Consider the following 18,684-nt stretch of genomic DNA (forward strand, 5'->3'; position numbering starts at 1 on the left):
AAGGCCCAGGGGTGCCAAATTTCATTAGTCTGGGCAGGTAGAGTCACAGGATGAGGGACCTGCAGTCATACTTCCTTATTTGGAGGAGGCATAGCTCAGACAGGTTGGGCTACATTTAGGTGAAGCCTCCAATAATGGGTGCATAGTGAGTTGAAATAAAGCCAGATTCCAGATGTCTGTGTTTGAGTGTGGGGATCCTAGCCTTGAAGCTGACAGACAGGCTCCAGCAGTGAAGGTCTTAGATTCCTGGCACCAATGGGACAGTCAGAGTTGAACTGTGCAATTTAGTTTGAGCTTAGTGCCAAGCCTAGATCAGAAACCCTCTTCTTTGACCTGACTGGGGACTGGGCCCATAGGTGGTCAATTGGGAAATTAAATTAAAGGGCAAAATCACTTAGAAATGGTATGTCTATACGAAACTTTACCAACTAAATATCACTCCTTTACTGATTTTTGGATTATGTGACCAGGACCATCTTTATTCTATTTTTTTTTTAAAGAGTCTATTGATTGGAGTTCCCTGGCTTATGTTTTGCATAAGCCACGCCTATAATTCCTGGTCTACAGTTCCTGGTTTCAGTTTCCTAAAAACAGGAGTGACGTTTGACACCCGCAGAAGAATCTCAGTACACAATATTCCTGTGTTTGTATAATTGCACTCGGTCCTTTATAGTCATCTCACCCACACCTAATCCAAAGGCTTTTTTTTTTTTCAGGAATTTGCCTTTTCAGATATATTCAACTTAGTTTGCATTGAAGCAATTGTCCTTTTTTTGTGCTCCTATTTCAGTGATTTATGTAATATTTAGCAAATGATGTAAGCAAAAATACCAACTACAACCAGCACAAAATATATTTGATGACTGTTAAGCCTGCATCCCAACTGGAGAGAGTGAGGGGCACTTGTGGGTAGAAGAAGCGAAGTCCACTAGTGTGGCCCGTGGAGTGGGTCTTGTGCAGTAGCCAGTATGTTTGCAGGGAAAGGGACAGGTTGGCTTCTATGGCGAGCTGGCTAAATGAGTGTCAGTTAAGAGAACTTCTGCTACAATTTAGAACTTGCTCCTGGTACTGGCTTGACTGATATGCCACGGTAAAAAGAGCACAGGTTGGCCAAGCACGGTGGCTCACTACTGTAATCCCAGCACTTTGGAAGGCCAAGGTGGGTGGATCATGAGGTCAGGAGTTCGAGACCAGCCTAGCCAGCATGGTGAAAACCCATCTCTCCTAAAAATACAAAAAATTAGCCGGGCATGTTGGCGCGCACCTGTAATCCCAGCTACTCAGGAGGCTGAGGCAGGAGAATTGCTTGAACCCGGGAGGGGGAGGTTGCAGTGAGTTGAGATCACACCACTGCACTCCAGCCTGGGTGACAGAGATAGACTCCATCTCAAAACAAAACAAAACAAAACAAAAAAATAAAAGAGCACAGGTTACAAGGTTCCTAGTCCTAGCTTTCCAACCATCATCCATGATTCCAGTCATTCCTGCCCTACTGTCCAAATCACAGGGTTGTGAAAATCTAATGTGATACTCTAGATGGAAGTCCTTTCAAAATTCAAGTTGCTGTGGACAATCTCTTAGCCTCTCTGTGGTTGATGGTCATTCTTTGATCGAGGCAAAAGTGGGAAATGCAAAACCTCACGCTAATTGGGCCTGCGAACTTTGTATGGAAGAGAACTGGCTTGTGATCATCTGTGATTCCTCAGATTCAAAAATGAATGCAATGAAAGAGACACAGTCCAGTAAGATATATCAACAGTCCTCCATTAGCTAAGCATTCCCTCGGGCTTCCCTGTCAGTCTCCAGCACACCATAAAAGGATGCCTGCAGCTTTGTACTTGTAATTTAACACTAATGGCAAGATGGCAAGGAGTGCTGCGTGCAGACTCTGTCTACAGCATAGAGCTTCACAGGGTGCCCTGGCTGGGCTTACTTCTTCTTTTCATACCTTCACAGGATCACCTTACATCTTTTTTGCTTTTCCCCACGCTGAGGCAGACACAGGTTGCAGAAATATATTAGAGAACTGTTTGTTTTCATTCATGGTTAACTTGCTTGATTAGCAAAATATTCAGACAAGAAGCAATTATGAGCTGTATTTTAGAAAATTATGCACAATTAACAATAAGATAATGACAAAAATGTGTGAAAGACATTTTGAAGACGTTTTGGTTTGGGGTGAGGGCGGCTGTTTTGTATAGCGAACATTCAGCATTAATGGTATAAAGGCAGCTAGGAGGGATGGCCCTAAAATGAAACATTTGTTTTCTCAGAATGTGCAGTTGGGAATGCAAATGTGCAAGAGCAACAGAAAAGATTCATTGTTGTCCCTGATGAGAAGTGCATGAAGCCTATCTCATCAGACATGCATCCTCATCACCATCAGATAATATTTATTAAGCCTCTCATTCTCCTGTGCATTTATGTGCAGCTGAGTGCGGCCCCGTAATGGCTCTGTGACTTATGGTGGTAACTAAGGTTTGATATAAAACACCACGGTTTGGAGACATAACGGACCAGGGGCTTTTGTTCATCCTCTGGTTCAGAAGACAGAACATGGTTGGTGTTGCAAAAAAACAAGGTAAAAGCAGAAAACCTTTAAAAGTTTTTTAGAATACGTGCTTTTAGAGAAAAATATTCTAGAAAGTATAGGAAAACCAAGTAGATGAATAGTGATGATGACTGTGATCATTACTGTCACAAATAGCCTTCACCCGATGATGATCCCATCTGCCTTTTACCAAATACACCCATCGCTGAAACTACTTTCTGAGGGGTGTGCTCCCCTTTCGTATGGGTCAGAAACAGGGGTTCCGAGAGGTGATGACTTGCTCAGGTTTCCACAGCTTGAAGAGGCTGCGCTGAGATTTGAACCCAGTCACTCTGACTCTAAAAATCAATGCATATTGACTCCATGCTAGACAGGCTGTCCATTATCTCCTATATCTTACATCAACCCTCAGAAACAGCTCATTATCCTGGTGACAGCTAAGGAAGGTTCTGAGAGGTGCAGTCATAAGCCCAGGCTCACACAGCCAGCATGGACAGAGACAGCTCAGGCAGCACAGAATCAACAGTCTGAAAAGGAATACAGAGCCCAAGGGTGTCCTCCCAAGCTTCACCCCAGAAACCAGGAGCAACTTCTGCAAATGCAGCTTCTGTAGGAAGTCAGAGGTCAAGCCAGGCCAGGAGGTTTCTGCTCCTCCAAGATGCCAGTGGTGAGTGCCTCTCTGAGGTCCCTGCAGCAAAGGGGCAGGCAGGGGACAGCCACCCTGGGGAAAACTCCCAAAATGTCGACTCAGTGCCCACTGTCTTGAGTTTCCTCTCCAGAGAGTCTCATTTTCTTGGGTTTGAAATATAAGGGGCAGAGAGGAGGGATGCTCTTGGTTGAATTTTACCCAATAAGAGAACCAGGGCTGTTTGCTTCCACATAAGGGAGTTCCATGGTTCAAGAACATGCAGAACCTATTATTCAGGGGAACATGGTTGGCTAGAAGTCCTAAGGATAAAAGGTCAGTAGGGGATATAAGAAATTGGATTTATTTATAGTATGTGATCTAAGTGTGCTCAGAGGTATTCTCACAGGTTACCCAGAACAAGAGAGCATATTTATAGCCAAGATGGTGCAGACGTCCTATTCCTTTTTATTAAGCATGTTTATTACCCAGCAATTGGGTTAAGCAATTGTCCAAGGGCTGAATTACTGTCCTTCTGATGGGCTGGCCTTACTGCCCTCTGGACCACAGGTGCAGGTGGCCTAATGGCTTTTCCCATAATGCACTGAGGAGGACCTTATCTTCCCATCCTCTCTCTAAGTCTTTCTCATTTTTTGAGAATAGTGGTTTAAAAAAAAAAGTGCTTAGGAGAAGACATCATAAATGAGTGATCAAACAATTGGTCTATTTTTGCAAGGTAGCACACCTATATGATGCTCAAGTTCACTTCTCAGATGAATTTTGGGGTAAAGGTCACCGGATGCCGCCTCGGCACAGGCTCCTCCTATGTCATCATCAGCAAAGACCACCCAGGAGAATAAAATAATGGTATAAATGTTACTGTCCTGGAGGCTGAGTTACTGTGATGAAGGATTTAATTTGTTTAATAATTATAACACTCCTGGGCAGTAGCATTTATCATTCTCATATTTTAGATGATAAATCCAAGGACCAAAGAGATTAAGCTACTCTCCATCTTAGCCTGCAGAGGGTTTGAATTTTATTGTATCAAGAGGCCTGGCCCTTCAGCATCTTCTCCTAAGTATGATAGTCTCCTTTTCTTAAAAAAAAATCAACACTGGAAACTAACCACCCTGCACTTGTTTGCATGATCACTTGTCAGGCATCAGTACAATTGATGCTGTGTTTTGCTTGAGATCTATTATCTTTTTTTTTGAGACGGAGTCTTGCTCTTTCACCCAGGCTGGACTGCAGTGGTGCTATCTCGGCTCACTGCAAGATCCGCCTCCCGGGTTCACGCCATTCTCCTGCCTCAGCCTCCCAAGTAGCTGGGACTACAGGTGCCCACCACTGTGCCCGGCTAATTTTTTGTATTTTTAGTAGAGACGGGGTTTCACCATGTTAGCCAAGATGGTCTCGATCTCCTGAACTCGTGATCCACCCACCTCGGCCTCCCAAAGTGCTGGGATTACAGGCGTGACCACCGTGCCCGGCCAAGCTCTATTATCTTAAAGTGAGTGTCGGACTGGAGCAAAACAAAGGACGGTATTGCCTCCATTCTCCATGGGACCACAGAATCACTAAGTGCTGTCCACTACATAGTACTAACATAGTACTGGGGTACTATAACATAGTACTGGGGTGTTCTGGGATGAGGAATAAGAGGAGACAACAGCTGAAGCCCAGAGCTAATGCCTGTCTGAAGGCAGCAAGAATGTCTTCCAGCTGTGGCATCTTTGCTGAGATGACTGAAACCTGCCAAAAGATATCCAAATGGCAGGCACGGACAGCCTTACATTGTTCCCAAGGAACACCAAATTTCCACAGAAACACCCTGGAGCCAAGCTGACAAAGATGGGTCAGACAACTAGAGAACTGAATGAGAAACAAAAAAAAAGGAAGCCTGTGTCATTTCAGGGTGATAGAAGAAAGGGGTTCTAGGCGCTGCAGGTGACCTCTTCCCAAAGTATTTACCGGGTGGAGGGTTCAAAATCAGCCTGCCCTTTGTTCACATAAAGGTACCACACTGCTTATAGCACAGAGTGGTAATGGGCCGTGAACCCCAGGTCACCAGACTGCACCTCAGAGGGGAAACAGCCCAGCCACATGGGACTTCCTTTGACCTTTTCCATTTCTGTGTAGCAGAAACATGGCTCTGAGCCAGAGCTGGTTCGCTCAATAATCACACTTGTTTTCAAGGGTCCTGGGACCTAATTCCCCATGGTGTGCTCCCTAAGCTATGTGATAACTGTGTTTGTATCCCTGGGCCACCGCTTTTACTGGCTTTTGTTGCCTCAAAACATACCCATGGCAAATTCCAGAAATATAAATAACATGAACCATAATTCCAATGACAATGAGATCATGCCTTCTCCCAGATGCTATAATATATGATAACACTTGTATTACTCGTAATGAGAATATATAATTAAATTATCAGGTAGGGATCCCTTTCTGCCATTCACTTTATAGAATAGTAAACTATGAGTTATTTGGAGGTATTCATAAGAGACTTTATAAGAGTTAGGAGCTGGGGTTCAGGCAGTGTGATCAAGAGGCCATCTGTAAAATGAAAATCTTCTCTGGAGAGAACCAATTTATCGCCTGTTTAAGCTGGAGTTCTCCTGGCCTCACTGGTGTTCACCTAGTGCTTGGAAAATAGGCTTATTCTAGCTATAGGAGATTAGGGATAAAAGAGTTTTTAAAAAGAGAAAAATTATTATAATTTAGAGATACAGCACTGTATGTGCTTAATTGAGAGGGCATCTGGCTACATTGTTGCTGAGAAAAATAGATCCCATGACCTGCCTTTGTTGAAAAGGTGACATCTGGGTTCATTAAAGGTGTGCAATAGATTTTGATAAAAGCTATTTTTCTAAGTCATTAAATTGGTTTTTAGGAACTTTACACTCTCCTTCATTTGAACAATTATTAAACTATAAAATAGAATTGCACAATTGCTAAAACCGTAATCTGAAATTTTACAGCCAGCTATAAAATGCCGTATTATTAAACTATACTGAAGATGCTCAAGCCCATTACAACTTTTAAAATGAATTATAAAACCCTTTACTGCTGATAAAATAATCTTAAATTACAGTATTATGTATTCTAACAATATGTTGAACCAAAGTTTGCTACAATGCAAACATGCCAATCACAAAGAAATCATTTTTTGAATTAAGTTTGCAGAAGCTGGCAATATGATAACAGCTGCTTCAGCAAGGCAGCCCAGCACCTGATGTCGGCAGGCTGGGGGGGACAGCTTGTCCTCCATGGCAGCTGCCTTTTGCCAAGTTCCTGCAACCACAGAACTAAGAGTCAGCTTCCTATGTTAAAGTCTGCACAAGCGACACTTAGTAGGGCCCCGGAGATTAAGAAAAGTCTTGCAGGAACAGCACTGTTTTCCCTTAACGTCTCCCCATGAGTGAGATTTTGTAAATGCAAAATGCTTAGTTACGGAATAGCTGCCACTTACATGTATGATACCTAGGATGTAGGGTGCCACACATATGTACCTATCAATCATAAGGCCTGGCCCCCAAGATTAAATTCCTATTTTTTGTACCAGTTAGTTATACCCTGCATGTGTCCATTTCCAATCGAGTTGAATACACAATTGAAAATGTAGTTGAGCATGCTGGCTTGTATGGCAGCCTTAACAGGGTAATACCCAATTTTGAGCTCTGAATTCAAGCACTTTCTTGGCTGAAGGGCTTTGAAAATGCTCTATAAGCAGTTATTATAAAAGGTGTTTTTACAACAGCCTCTTTTCTCCCAAGGCTGACGTGGGTGGATTCTGGGATGCAGCTTCCCTCTAAGCTCCTCTGCTGGCACTTGGAGCCAAGAAGATGAAGTCCAAGGAGGTCACTGGTAGCCTGTCCATGCTGGGAGAAGCAGGTTCACCACACAGGGCCTGGAACCACTTGGCAGCCTGGTCCAGAGCTCTGTGATAAAGCTTCCAGGAGGGCCCAGAAGGATGTAGTCTAGGTGAGGGGCCTTGCAGCTTAACACTTCTGCTAAGGGAAGATCCCCCTCCAACAGCTCATTCCTCCTAGAGTGGGGAAATAAACTCAGCCAGAGCAGGAGACCATTACGCAGAGAAAACGCTGGGTATAGCCAAGGTTAGATATAGCCAAGGTTTGGATTTTTTTCTATGTGACAAAAATAACAGCGGGTGCTAGAAAACAGTCTGTATCACACAGAGACGATGAAAACGTCACAAAGACCATAAACCAAACACCACAAATAACACGCAGCCCCAAGACCATTCTCTTAGATAAAAGGCCCAGGCAATGGTATCCACGTTGCTACCGTCATTTAGATTCTATGCCTGTGCTATGGGCTCAGCGTTGACATGTCTGGTGCTAGTTTTCTAATCCCATTCAATCCCACCCCTCCTAAAGCTCCTCCGTCCTCAAAGCCATGTGTGAGAAGCCTGACCATGGTTTGGCACAACACTTCCATCCACTATGGTCGTTGGGCAAAAGTCTCCTTTGAGATGTTCTCTGCAGGGTAATCATCCAGCGCGCTGGATGCGTAAAAACACCAGAAGGTGATGGTGTGAGGATGAGACACCAGAGGTCTCTCTCTCCTCCATGTGAGGATACAGTAGGAAGGCGGCCATCTGCAACCTGGAAGAGAGCGCTCACTGGGAACCCAATCTGCCCACACCTTGACCTTGAACTTTCCAGCCTCCAGAGCTATGAGAAATAAATTTCTGTTGCTTAAGCCGCCCAGTCTACAGTATTTTGTTATGACAGCCCAAATGGACTAAGACAAGTAGTAACCACAGCTTCCTTTCCTTGTCCCTGCCTGCACTACCTAGGAAAGATTTGGTCCAGTGCACCAGTTTACACTTATATCTCCCTATGCTCCTTGCTACAGAAGGAGGAAGAAACACGAGGATTCTCAAAAGCCCCCATTTTCCTTGTTAGTATAAAGGAAAAGGGGGGTCTCTGAGGCACCCTTCGCTTCGGGCAGTGATTGTCAAGCAGGTGCGCTTCTGCCCCCTGGAGACATTTGGCAGTGCTGAAAGGACATTTTTGGCTGCCATAGTTGAGGAAAGGTGCTACTGGTATCCGGACGGTAGAGGCCAGGGACGCTGCTAAATACCCTACAATGCACAGGACAGCCCCCCGTAACAATTTTGCAGACCAAAATGTCAATAGTGCCAATGTCGAGGAAGCCTGGCCTGGAAGAACCATTCAACTCACAGCCAAGAGGTTACTGGACAATCCTCACTGAAATCGACAGGGTTGGCACAGGGGGGTGTGCAGCCCACCCTCAGCAGAGAATACCAGGGGAAGCAAGTGACTTCTCATGAAGAAGCACCTATCTCCAAACTCCATTTCAAAACCCCCACTCTAACAAGACCTCATCCTTTGTCTTATCCATAACAAGTTCCACTCCACACACTGGAGCTCCACAGGCCACGAAGACCAGAAAGCCTGCTGGGAAAAAGGCCCCATAAAGCAATGCCTCCTGAGTCCCATAACCCAGCCTGATCCTTAAGGGCACTTCTCTGACACTGAAGGTGGGACGAAGGGGGACAGTGATATCCAATTGCTGGGCCGAAAGCCCCTTGAAACTTACAACTAATAAAAACTTACATAGTACCATTTTTGAGCTGGGCACCATTCTGAGCATGCTTTACACTCACAAACACATTTAATCCGCAAACACCCCAGGAAGCTCTTCTACTGTCATCTGCACGTTAAAGATGAGGAAATTGAGGCAGAAAAGATAAGTAATTTGCCCAAAGTTTAATGGCTACTAAGTGGTGGAGTGCACAGTTTCAACTCCGGCTTCCTTATGAGAAGTTTCACAGTGCTACAAATTGGGTGCAGTGTATACTGCCTGGGTGATGGGTGCACCAAAAATCTCACAAATCACCATTAAAGTACTTGTGTAACCAAATATGACCTGTTCCCCAGTAACCTATGGAAATAAAACATTTAAAAAATAAAAGAAGTTTCACGGTGCATCTCTAGAATTAAAATTATATTTTAAAACAACCAACTCTGATGAGGCGTTGTTGTATAATTAAGAATTTGACTGGCCTTTGTCCTTGGTTCCTGAGAGATAACCTCTAAATCCTTGGAATTTCTTGAGTGCCTGTTATTCATGAATTCTTTGGATCACACCTGAGTGTCCGAGTAATGGGATGACTCAGGATTAGGTCAGGTTACCACAAAGACCAACCATGGGTCACAGGGTTGGGACTTGAGCCACAGTAGGTCAGCCTGACTTCCTGATCCCCATGGTGTGGGGAGGAGGGCTGAAGACAGCCAGTCACGTGGTCAATGATTCAATCAATAGTGCCTACTTAATAAAACTCTAACAAAACTTTGGAGACTGAGCTCCGGGAGCTTCCTGGGCAGCAAATACATTAATGCAGCAAGGGGGCGACATGCCCTAATTCCATGGGGAGAAGGCAGAGAAGCTCTCCATTGGAAACCCCCCCAGACCTTGCCCTAGGCATCTCTTTGTCTAGCTGGTTCTGATCTGTACCCTGATAATAAAGTTGTAATCTTAGGTCTTGTAGCACTTTCCTGATTTCTGTGAATCATTCCAGTGAAATGAACTTGAGGGGGTCATAGGAACCCCTGGATTTGTAACTAGTTGGTCAGAAGTGCAGGTGGCCTGGGAACCCCAAAGTGTGACTGGCATCTGAAGCAAGGGCCGTCTTGTTGGGGACCACGGCCATAACCTGTGGAGTCTGACACCCTGAGTGGTTAGCTCGGAATTGAGTTGTACTGCGGTCTACCAGTTGGTGTCAGAATAGGCATCATTACTTTTCTTTATGCTCATTTATGAACCAATCTGACACTTCAGTCTGCCAGATGTTCAACAAGAATTTAGGGACTGATTTAATCTATAGCGATGAAAAATGTTACCCAGAAACGCAATGTTTAAAGTGCTCTGGTTTCGGTAATACAGTGTAGCCATTTATAATGGGGGCAGGGAGGAACACTGCTTTGCCCTTGCTCCTCTCCTGATCAAGTATCTGTGTGCCTCGGGTCTCTTGTCTGAAAAATGGGAATGATAACAGTACTGACCTTCTGAGGTTACTGTGAGGATTACTCAGGGGAGGCACTGCGTATGCATTTGTTTTATTAATGCCTGGCCATAAAAAGCTAGGGTGACCTAAGTTATCAAAGCAAATTGTTCTGGGATCTGTCATAGAATGAGATGGTTTATAATGTTTTCCAAAGTGGGGCTTGGGGACTACTGGTGGTATACGACATCATTTTAGGTAGCACGCAAACTTTTTTATGGTTTTAATTTTAATATTTATATATTGATTTTAATATAGAGAAAGCACATTGAACTCATGCTTTCACATATGTTAGTAACAGCTTCAGATGAGTCTCAAAGGCAGTAGTGTGCATATAAATAAGTATAGCTCATAATTGAATTTAAAGACAAAGATGAAGCAAATAATAGGATCAGTGGAGTGCAGATATGGCAAAGACTGCAAAGTCCTGGGATTTGAGGCTAAGAGGCAGGACTAGTTCTCAAATACCGTCTTTTCTGCAACCAAGAATGTTTCATGTTAACAACTGCATCACCTCTTCCTAATGTCAGCATTGGTTAAAGAGATGTGGCGGGGACCGTGGCAGCTAGTTCCACTCTGGTCACCAGGCTGGACCAAGATCTGACCAGAGTGGCAGCTCCAAGTCACAGCTCCAAGAGGCAGGTAAGTCAGATGAAGCTCCCAGGAGATGTGCGGAGAGATGGAATTTGGATCAGTTCTAATCCCTGAAGACCTAGTCCTTTTATTGCCTTTGGTTTCCCTTCCTTCTTGGCCTGGTGTCCAAAGAACATTCTCCCTCTTCCCCTCCTCCCTGGGACTTTCCACCAAGACCACATCTTAGAACTGGCAGGATATCATTCAGCTCAAACCGCCCCTTGCTTTTGTTTTTTTTGTTTTTTTTTTGAGACGGACTTTTGCTCTTGCTGCCCAGGCTAGAGTGCAAGAGCGTAATGGTGCGATCTTGGCTCACCACAACCTCCGCCTCCCGGATTCAAGCGATTCTCCTGCTTCAGCCTCCTGAGTAGCTGGGATTACAGGCATGTGCCACCATGCTGGCTAATTTTGTATTTTTAGTAGAGATGGGGTTTCTCCATGTTGGTCAGGCAGGTCTCAAACTCCTGACTTCAGGTGATCTGCCGCCTTGGCTTCCCAAAGTGCTGGGATTACAGGTGTGAGCCACCACACCCAGCCTCAAACCCTTCTTATTAATTAAGAAGACACAATACAATCTAAAGAGCTCCATCGTTCTTCCTCTGTGGCCCCCCTGCTCCTGAGAGCAGCTCTTCCTTTCTGGCCCCAGCCTCCTGTGTCAAAATCTCTAATGCATCTCACCAACCATGCCAATAGTGGAGGCCACTTCCCCCAGTCCAAGGGTCAGCCTGTTGTTGTGCCTGGCTCTTTGCATACTTGCACTGTTCTTTATCCCTCACAAAAAACCAAGAGCTCAGTGGTGTTTTACAGCAGAGATTCAGGGTAAAAACCAAGCAATAGTCATGGAGCCACAGGAGGCGAGCCAGGATTCTCACTCAGGTCCAACTAACTCCAAAGCTCAAGCTTTTCCCGGAAAACCAACTCTTAAACTGTTAACCATGGGTGAAAAGGAAAGTGCGGAAGAACTGCTCTCAGGGTTACTTCACCCTACTTGGAGGGGTGGGGTAAGGACAGGGGGTGAACCCCCTTCCCGGAGCCAGGAGTCTGGTGTGGAAATAAGCACCTCTCTTTCCTCGCTTCTATCTTCCCAGGCCTCCTCTCCTCCCAGTCTATCATCCTGTGCAAAATCCCAGCACCCTGGACTGGCTCTCAAGCGCCTCTTCTCTGGTGGAAGATTAACGGGCCGCCAAAGCATCCCATTGCTCTGCTAGCATAAATTGCAAGAAAAACATTTAGAATATTGATTAAGTGCTCCGTGCTAGAAGATTGAAATTTACCTCCTGTATTTCCAGGATTAGCTGACATAATGGGGTCAGTCTGCTGGCACAAATGATTTACAGAACACCCATTGGCAGCTTTCCTTTTAAAACTCGACACTTAAAATTTTCACTTGGTCACAGCCAGTGGAGTCCTGGGTATTTGGTAGGCTTGGATAATTGCCTTCCCACCGCATCTAGACTTTGGGGGTTTGCCCCCACAAAGAAGAGTTTTGAAATCATTTCTGGTCTGGTCTGGCCCCATCTGGAACAAATGGACTTTGGATCTGAGGAGATACTGGGGCCGTGGGGAGAGGGTGGAAGGGACCATCTAAATATAGATTATTTTCAATATTCAAATGCAGAAGATGTAGGAGTTAAACAGATTAGGTCTGCCCTCCATCCCTCCTGCCACTCTGCAAACATTAGGCTGCATCCTACAAGTACCTGTTTTCTAAGCTTGACACGACTCTGGGGAGATAAGGAAATGTATTGAGGCTTTGTTGGGAGGCTGGCAAGGTGTGAACCTAGGCTGAAATCCAGTGAATGTGGCAGGTTCTCTGCTCCAGGCAGATGCCCACCCCAAGGCCTCTGCCCCCACCCCACACAAAGAGGGGCCCACGGTGTCTCTACTGTGAACCCCTTAGGGCTAGCATGGTCTGATGGCCAGAGAAGACCAGGCAGCTACTGGTGGAGTGGTTGGGGGCAGGACGGCTGCCCTCTGCATGGTTGATTTTAACAGGAAGCATGCTTTCGAAGATTATCCACATGGACCCTTCATCTCTTTCATGACTAGGCAAGCTGCTTTGTGGTTTCCTTCTAGAATGCTGTTTTAAAAGTCCCACCAGGATGAGATCTGTCACACTGGTCCTCCATGTCTCACCCACAGATGTGTTTTATGTGACTCACAAAAGTAATCTCTAACTTTGAATGTGGCTTGTGCTGTTTACTGGAGCCTGTGCCAACTGCCCACAGCTATCCTCACCTACCCTGCTCGCCCTGGGGCTGAGCGTGTGCCCCACGGTCTGTCACGCATTTCCAGGGGCAAGGGGCTGAAGGAAGGCAGAGGCAGTGAAACCTTCTCAGGAGGCCTGAGTCCCAAGGCTATAGCTCCCAATCCTTGTTACTCTATTTGACCACAGAAATCAGAGGTCGACAAACACCACATTAAGATGTCTTCACTGTAAGACACCAGAGTTAAGCAGTGTACAATGATGCAAAATAGAGAATTTTTCTAACGTTCCAAAGATATTTACTTTAAATAAGTAACACACACACACACACACACACACACACACACACACACACACACACACACAGTCCATTTGGTTTAAATATCCTGAGCTTTTTCCAGCTACCAGACCACTCCAGTGCACGGAAGATGAAGTAATTGATAGGATTATTAATGTTTCTTTGTTTTCCATATGACCATTTCATATAAGTAAGTCGAAGGAATAGGCCAACAATAGCACAGCCTGTGCCATGCTTGTCACTAATATGACTGCCAATTAATCCTGAAATGGGAGCTTGGCGGGTAACCCAAAACCCGGTATTTTATCACCTCAGGGGGTTAGCACTTGGACATTTCTGTAACATTTTACACTAATCAATCAACTTTCCTTTTTTAAAGCAAAGCCTTTCATAGGAACCATGGATGCGTCCTATATTCACCATATCCATAGCCACCTAGTTCCCCAAACAGAACTGCGTTTGGTTTGTTGATAATTACACTTCGGAGCAGACTTTGGAAAATGTTTATTCGTGTTTCTTCCCTTCCAAGGGGGAAATCTATCTCAAATGTTAAGACTGAAACTCAAGTCCCCAAGAGTTTTCTCATATTATTGTATATTTTAAAATATTACAAGAGGGCGCTTCTCAAGGGAAGTGAACTTTAGAGCTGCCAAAGATAGTTGACTTTCTCTGAATCTGTTACCAATGGATCCCAAGCTGGTTAAAGTCAGTTCTATTCTGAGTCATGACACATGTGGCTGGGACAAACGCCATTCTAAGATATTTCTAGGACCCCCATCCTCCTCCCCGGCAAATGATAATTCATCTGGAGACAGCCATGCAGGCAGAGGAGGGTCAGATGGGGAGAATTAGTCTCCTGGGAGCCCTCCGCCCAGGCAAGAATCCTAAATCAGCTGGAGGGACCACATTCTTGGGATGAAGGCCCTTCACTCATCACTCTCTCATCCCCCCCATCCTCTAGCCTCAGATGATCCTTTCAACCATTCTTCATAGAGGTCACCCTAGAAAATCAGCAAGCTGCAAAAATATTACTGGCAAACTGTCAGTCCTTCCCCTATGTTGTCTCCTGGAATTGAGGCATGAAGAAAGAAACCCAGTCTGAAGTCGGAGCTTTGCCTCTGTACCCCTTATTTGCATCAGTGAACCTCACGAGGAACTAAGACATGCGGCTCTCTCAAAACCAGCTTCTCCTTTCTTATTCTTTCCTTCTTCCTCACTGTCTATTCTTCATCCAGAGAAAGAATCCCAGCTGTCCAAGGGTCATGGAACAAGGCAAAAGTGCCTTGGCCTCAAAGTTAGAAATCTTAGTCTGCTAGAGAATTACTGTGTGATTCTGGATATGTCACAAGGCTCTCCCTGGCTCAGTTGCTCCATTTGTAAAAGGCAAGGATGTCTGCCACACCTGAGTCATGGGGCTGCTGTGAGGAGTGCAGAGGGCAAAGCACACAGAAGGTTTTGAAAAATAAAACTACACACCTGTTAGTGTAACCTCCCACCAATGTTCCCTAGCACACACCCAACACCCCACCCCCAAGGAAGCATAGCACCACCTTCCATCTGTTGTAAAGGAACCAAGTGGCTACTGACTTGGGATCAGACACCAAACTGCATGTGACATTCATAAAGCACCATTCTGGAACGTTTACTCTGCTCCATTTAATCCTCTCAACTCCGGCAGCTAAGCCATATATGTGCTTTGTAGGTGAGGAAGCTGAGGCTTAGAGAAGTTAGCATGCTTGCAGAGGCCACCATACTGGTGAGGACAAGAGCAGGGTCTGAAATGGGCTTGGCTGCCTCCCCTGCCCTTATCCCTTATTCCCTGCCTCATTTGTGCAAAAAGGGGCTCATGCAGGTCGTCATCTTAGGAGTCAAAGTGAGGTTCCATGGAACCCTAAGGGCTCCCTGGGAGTCAAATGCTGTTTAGCTCCAGGATATGTGGAGACTGTGCATATCACAGGGAAGAGAGGTGTGGCTAGAGCCACTTTTTGTTCCTCCACAGCCCCACGCCTTCATGTCCCCCTCTGCCAAGGAGTTAAACAGCAGCCCAGAGATAAACGTCATGCTTTACTTTTTGTTTTCTGTTTTTGTTTTGAGACAGAGTCTTGCTCTGTCACCCAGGCCAGAGTGCAGTGGTGCAATCACGGCTCACTGCAACCTCCGCCTCCAGGGTTCAAGGGATTCTCTTGCCTCAGCTTCCCAAGTAGCTGGGATTACAGGCGTGCACCACCACGCCCAGCTAATTTTTGTATTTTTAGTAGAGACAGGATTTTACCATGTTGGCCAGGCGGTCACAAACTCCTAATTTTACTTTTGTCCTTCTGTTTAGGAAGCAGAGTTCCTATCACTAACAGGAAAGGAAAGACATGGTTTCTGGGGAATAGAGCGCCTGTGTTCCCTGATGTTGCCGGGACAACCCTGAGGCAGTACAGATCCTCCTTGCAGGGAAAGGTGTTTGGACAGATCTGTGTTGGGGGCAAAGCCACATACTGCACTGTACCACGGGGAGCCCAAGTCAGGATTTGGGCGGGGGGCGGAGGGACAGGGGGCGGTGTGGAAGAGAACACCTCCTGTGGCTGACAGACCCCTCTCCTCTCATGGGGGAAACTCCAATTTCATGGGGTTTCCAATGATGACTATTCTGAGATGTCACCTATTAACTTCCAAAAATGTTGACAAGTTGCATCTTGCCCAGTATTCTAGGTTTACTGACAAGGCAACTTTTGTTTTTGAATGCCCATCTCCACAAAGTTTCTAAAACAGAGAAGGGACTTAATAAACAGGCTGAACACTGAACGCTGCCTCTGCAGTCACCCTCTGTGCACTGAGACACGTGCAGAAAAGAAGCTGGTTTTGCTGTAGCCAGAACTTGCCTTTTCTTTCCAGAAACCACCACTGGCTTCCCGTGATCACCTTATGATAATAGGATCCTGCCCCTCACCTGACCACTTGTCTTTACCGACACCAGAATCTGAATGGGCCCAAGAAGCTTGGAAGGCTGACCTAGGAGGAAGCAGGGTGCAGAGCACCCGCTGGAGATGGAAAAAAGACCCTGTTCCCTGCCTGGCTCTAGGCCTGCTTTCAACTCGCTGGAGGACTCTGAACACATCATTTCCCTGCTCTGAAACTCGGCCTCGCTGCAGGATGGAGCAGTTCCACGCCATAGTATTTCCCAGAGCTCCTCCTGGCTCTGGCTTTCTCTGCACAGTGCTTTGGAGAGAGTAAATGCCCGGGAAATGCTTTAGAAGTATGAAGCACATCTGTTTGACCTTGGGCTGTGCCATTTCGTTATCAGCCTCTCCTTAGTGTTTTCTGTGTGTGAGTGTCTCTGAAGACTGTGTGTCTGGGATGGAGAACCAGAAGGACAAAGGACAGAGACATAAGCTCAGATGAATGGCGTGGAGGACACCCAAGATGAAGAGGGGTCTCGAGATACCAAGCAAATCAAAACAAGTTTCTGAAACTTTCTAGGGAATGAAGTGGGTTGTGGGTCAAGCTAGTATTTGGTGAAAGAAGGCATCTTGTGAGAATTCTAGTGAGGCTGACCCTTGATGGGGGCTGGGGGGCCTCGATGTGCTCCAGTGATAAGCATGAGGCGACAGCACAGTGCTTGGCACATAGGCCACCAAACATCCCCTTCTCCAGCATAGCGGGAGGCAGAAGCTACCATGTGGTCACCATTTCCCTCAAAATACAGGAAAAATCACAGAAAGAACGAGGCTCCTGGGTTCCCAGTGCTGACTCTGTGACCCATTAGCTCTGCAGACTTGAGCAAGAGTGATCCTTCTCTGAGCCCCCGTGTCCTCAAACGAAAGAAGCTACGATACTATAGTGACAGCATCTCTCCTGCAGGCATCAGGAGGATAACACCCAAAGGGGTAAAGAATGTGAGGGTACCACTGGGCGCGGTGGCACAAGCCTGTAATCCCAGCACTTTGGGAGGCTGAGGCGGGCAGATCACAAGGTCGGGAGATCGAGACCATCCTGGCTAACATGGTGAAACCACGTCTCTACCAAAAAATACAAAAAATTAGCCAGGCGTGGTGGTGGGCGCCTGTAGTCCCAGCTACGCGGGAGGCTAAGGCAGGAGAATGGCGTGAACCCGGGAGGCGGAGCTTGCAGTGAGCCGAGATTGCACCACTGCACTCCAGCCTGGGTGACACAGCGAGACTCTGTCTCAAAAAAAAAAAAAAAAAAAAAAAAAAAAAGAATGTGAACATACCCTGTGAACATACAAATAGGAGATGTCCTGCCAAATAGCTGAGTACTTATTACTATGAAAAATCAATAAAAAAGCAGGATAAAGACTCTGCTTTCGACTGAAGACAGGAAATCACCACTTCTATCTTGCTGTGGTTCTGCCCTCGCAGACCTGGATTAACCCCAGAGAATGTTCTTGACCGTTCTCACTGGACTGTATCCACATGCGGGGGTTTGCAGGGCAGCTTGTGCCTCCTCACGGCTCCTCCTACTGCCAAAGAGCACTTGCTTTTGCTTCTGAAGAACCAACCCGTCAAGCAGTCTGCATGGGAATTAACCAGCAACACTGTCTCTGGTTTACCTTTAGAGACAGTTAAATACTCCATGCCATGTGATGATGACAAACTCAAGAGCTCCTTTCCTTTCATTATGCTGCTGCTTTGCAGAGAACACAGAATCAGCATAATAAATATGTAACCAAGCCAACTTGACAACCCCACGCACAGAAAACTTCAGAGATGCATCTCCCCAGAACCCTCATTGTATAGGTAAAGAAAGTAGGGCCAGAAACAAGCCACACTCCCAGTAAACGACAGAGTCAGTTCCATAGTCGGACTTTCTCTGCACTATACGACAGGTCACAATCTTCACTGGTTGTGTTTAAAATGCAGTTTTGAGACTCAAACCCGAGCAGCATTCGTCATCTCTCTCTGCATACATTTCAGAAAATGGGTCTGCCCGTGTTTCACCCCCCCACCAGGAAGGGAGCCCCAGCAAGGAATCTGGACGCAGTTCTCACCTGTAAATTTGCACACGGTGGCAAAACATGAGTGGGAATTTCATTCTCAGACCCTGCTGGCCCCAGGGGCTTGTTCTTAACCCGGAGGGCAGTGGTGGTAGTGGCAGTGGTGGTCTGTACTGGGAAGGCTGGCTGCCACACGGTCACATCGGAGCCATTGCCAAAGGCTTGAATTGCATTTTCTGCAGTAAAACAGGAGGAAATCCAATTTCAAAGTCAAGCAGCAAACGTAACAGACAGGATATACACAGCCAGAGAGGCACACTAGAAATTCTGATTATAGCATTGGACTTCTCTGAACAAAACGCATCCATC

At 46.0% G+C, this 18,684-nt stretch overlaps 1 protein-coding gene across 12 annotated transcripts in view; it reads right to left on the minus strand.

Annotated features, from left to right (window-relative positions):
* GFRA1 (GDNF family receptor alpha 1) overlaps positions 1 to 18,684 on the minus strand; it is a 217,781-nt gene that overhangs the window by 14,447 nt on the left and 184,650 nt on the right. For all 12 annotated transcript variants that reach the window (NM_001382557.2, NM_001382556.2, NM_001145453.4 and 9 more), the window contains one exon: positions 18,370 to 18,551. In NM_001382557.2, the coding sequence (NP_001369486.1) occupies positions 18,370 to 18,551 (182 nt within the window). The remainder of the gene's footprint in view (positions 1 to 18,369; positions 18,552 to 18,684) is intronic.

This window comes from Homo sapiens, chromosome 10 (assembly GCF_000001405.40).
Source record: "Homo sapiens chromosome 10, GRCh38.p14 Primary Assembly".
In the NCBI taxonomy this organism is placed as follows: domain Eukaryota; kingdom Metazoa; phylum Chordata; class Mammalia; order Primates; family Hominidae; genus Homo; species Homo sapiens.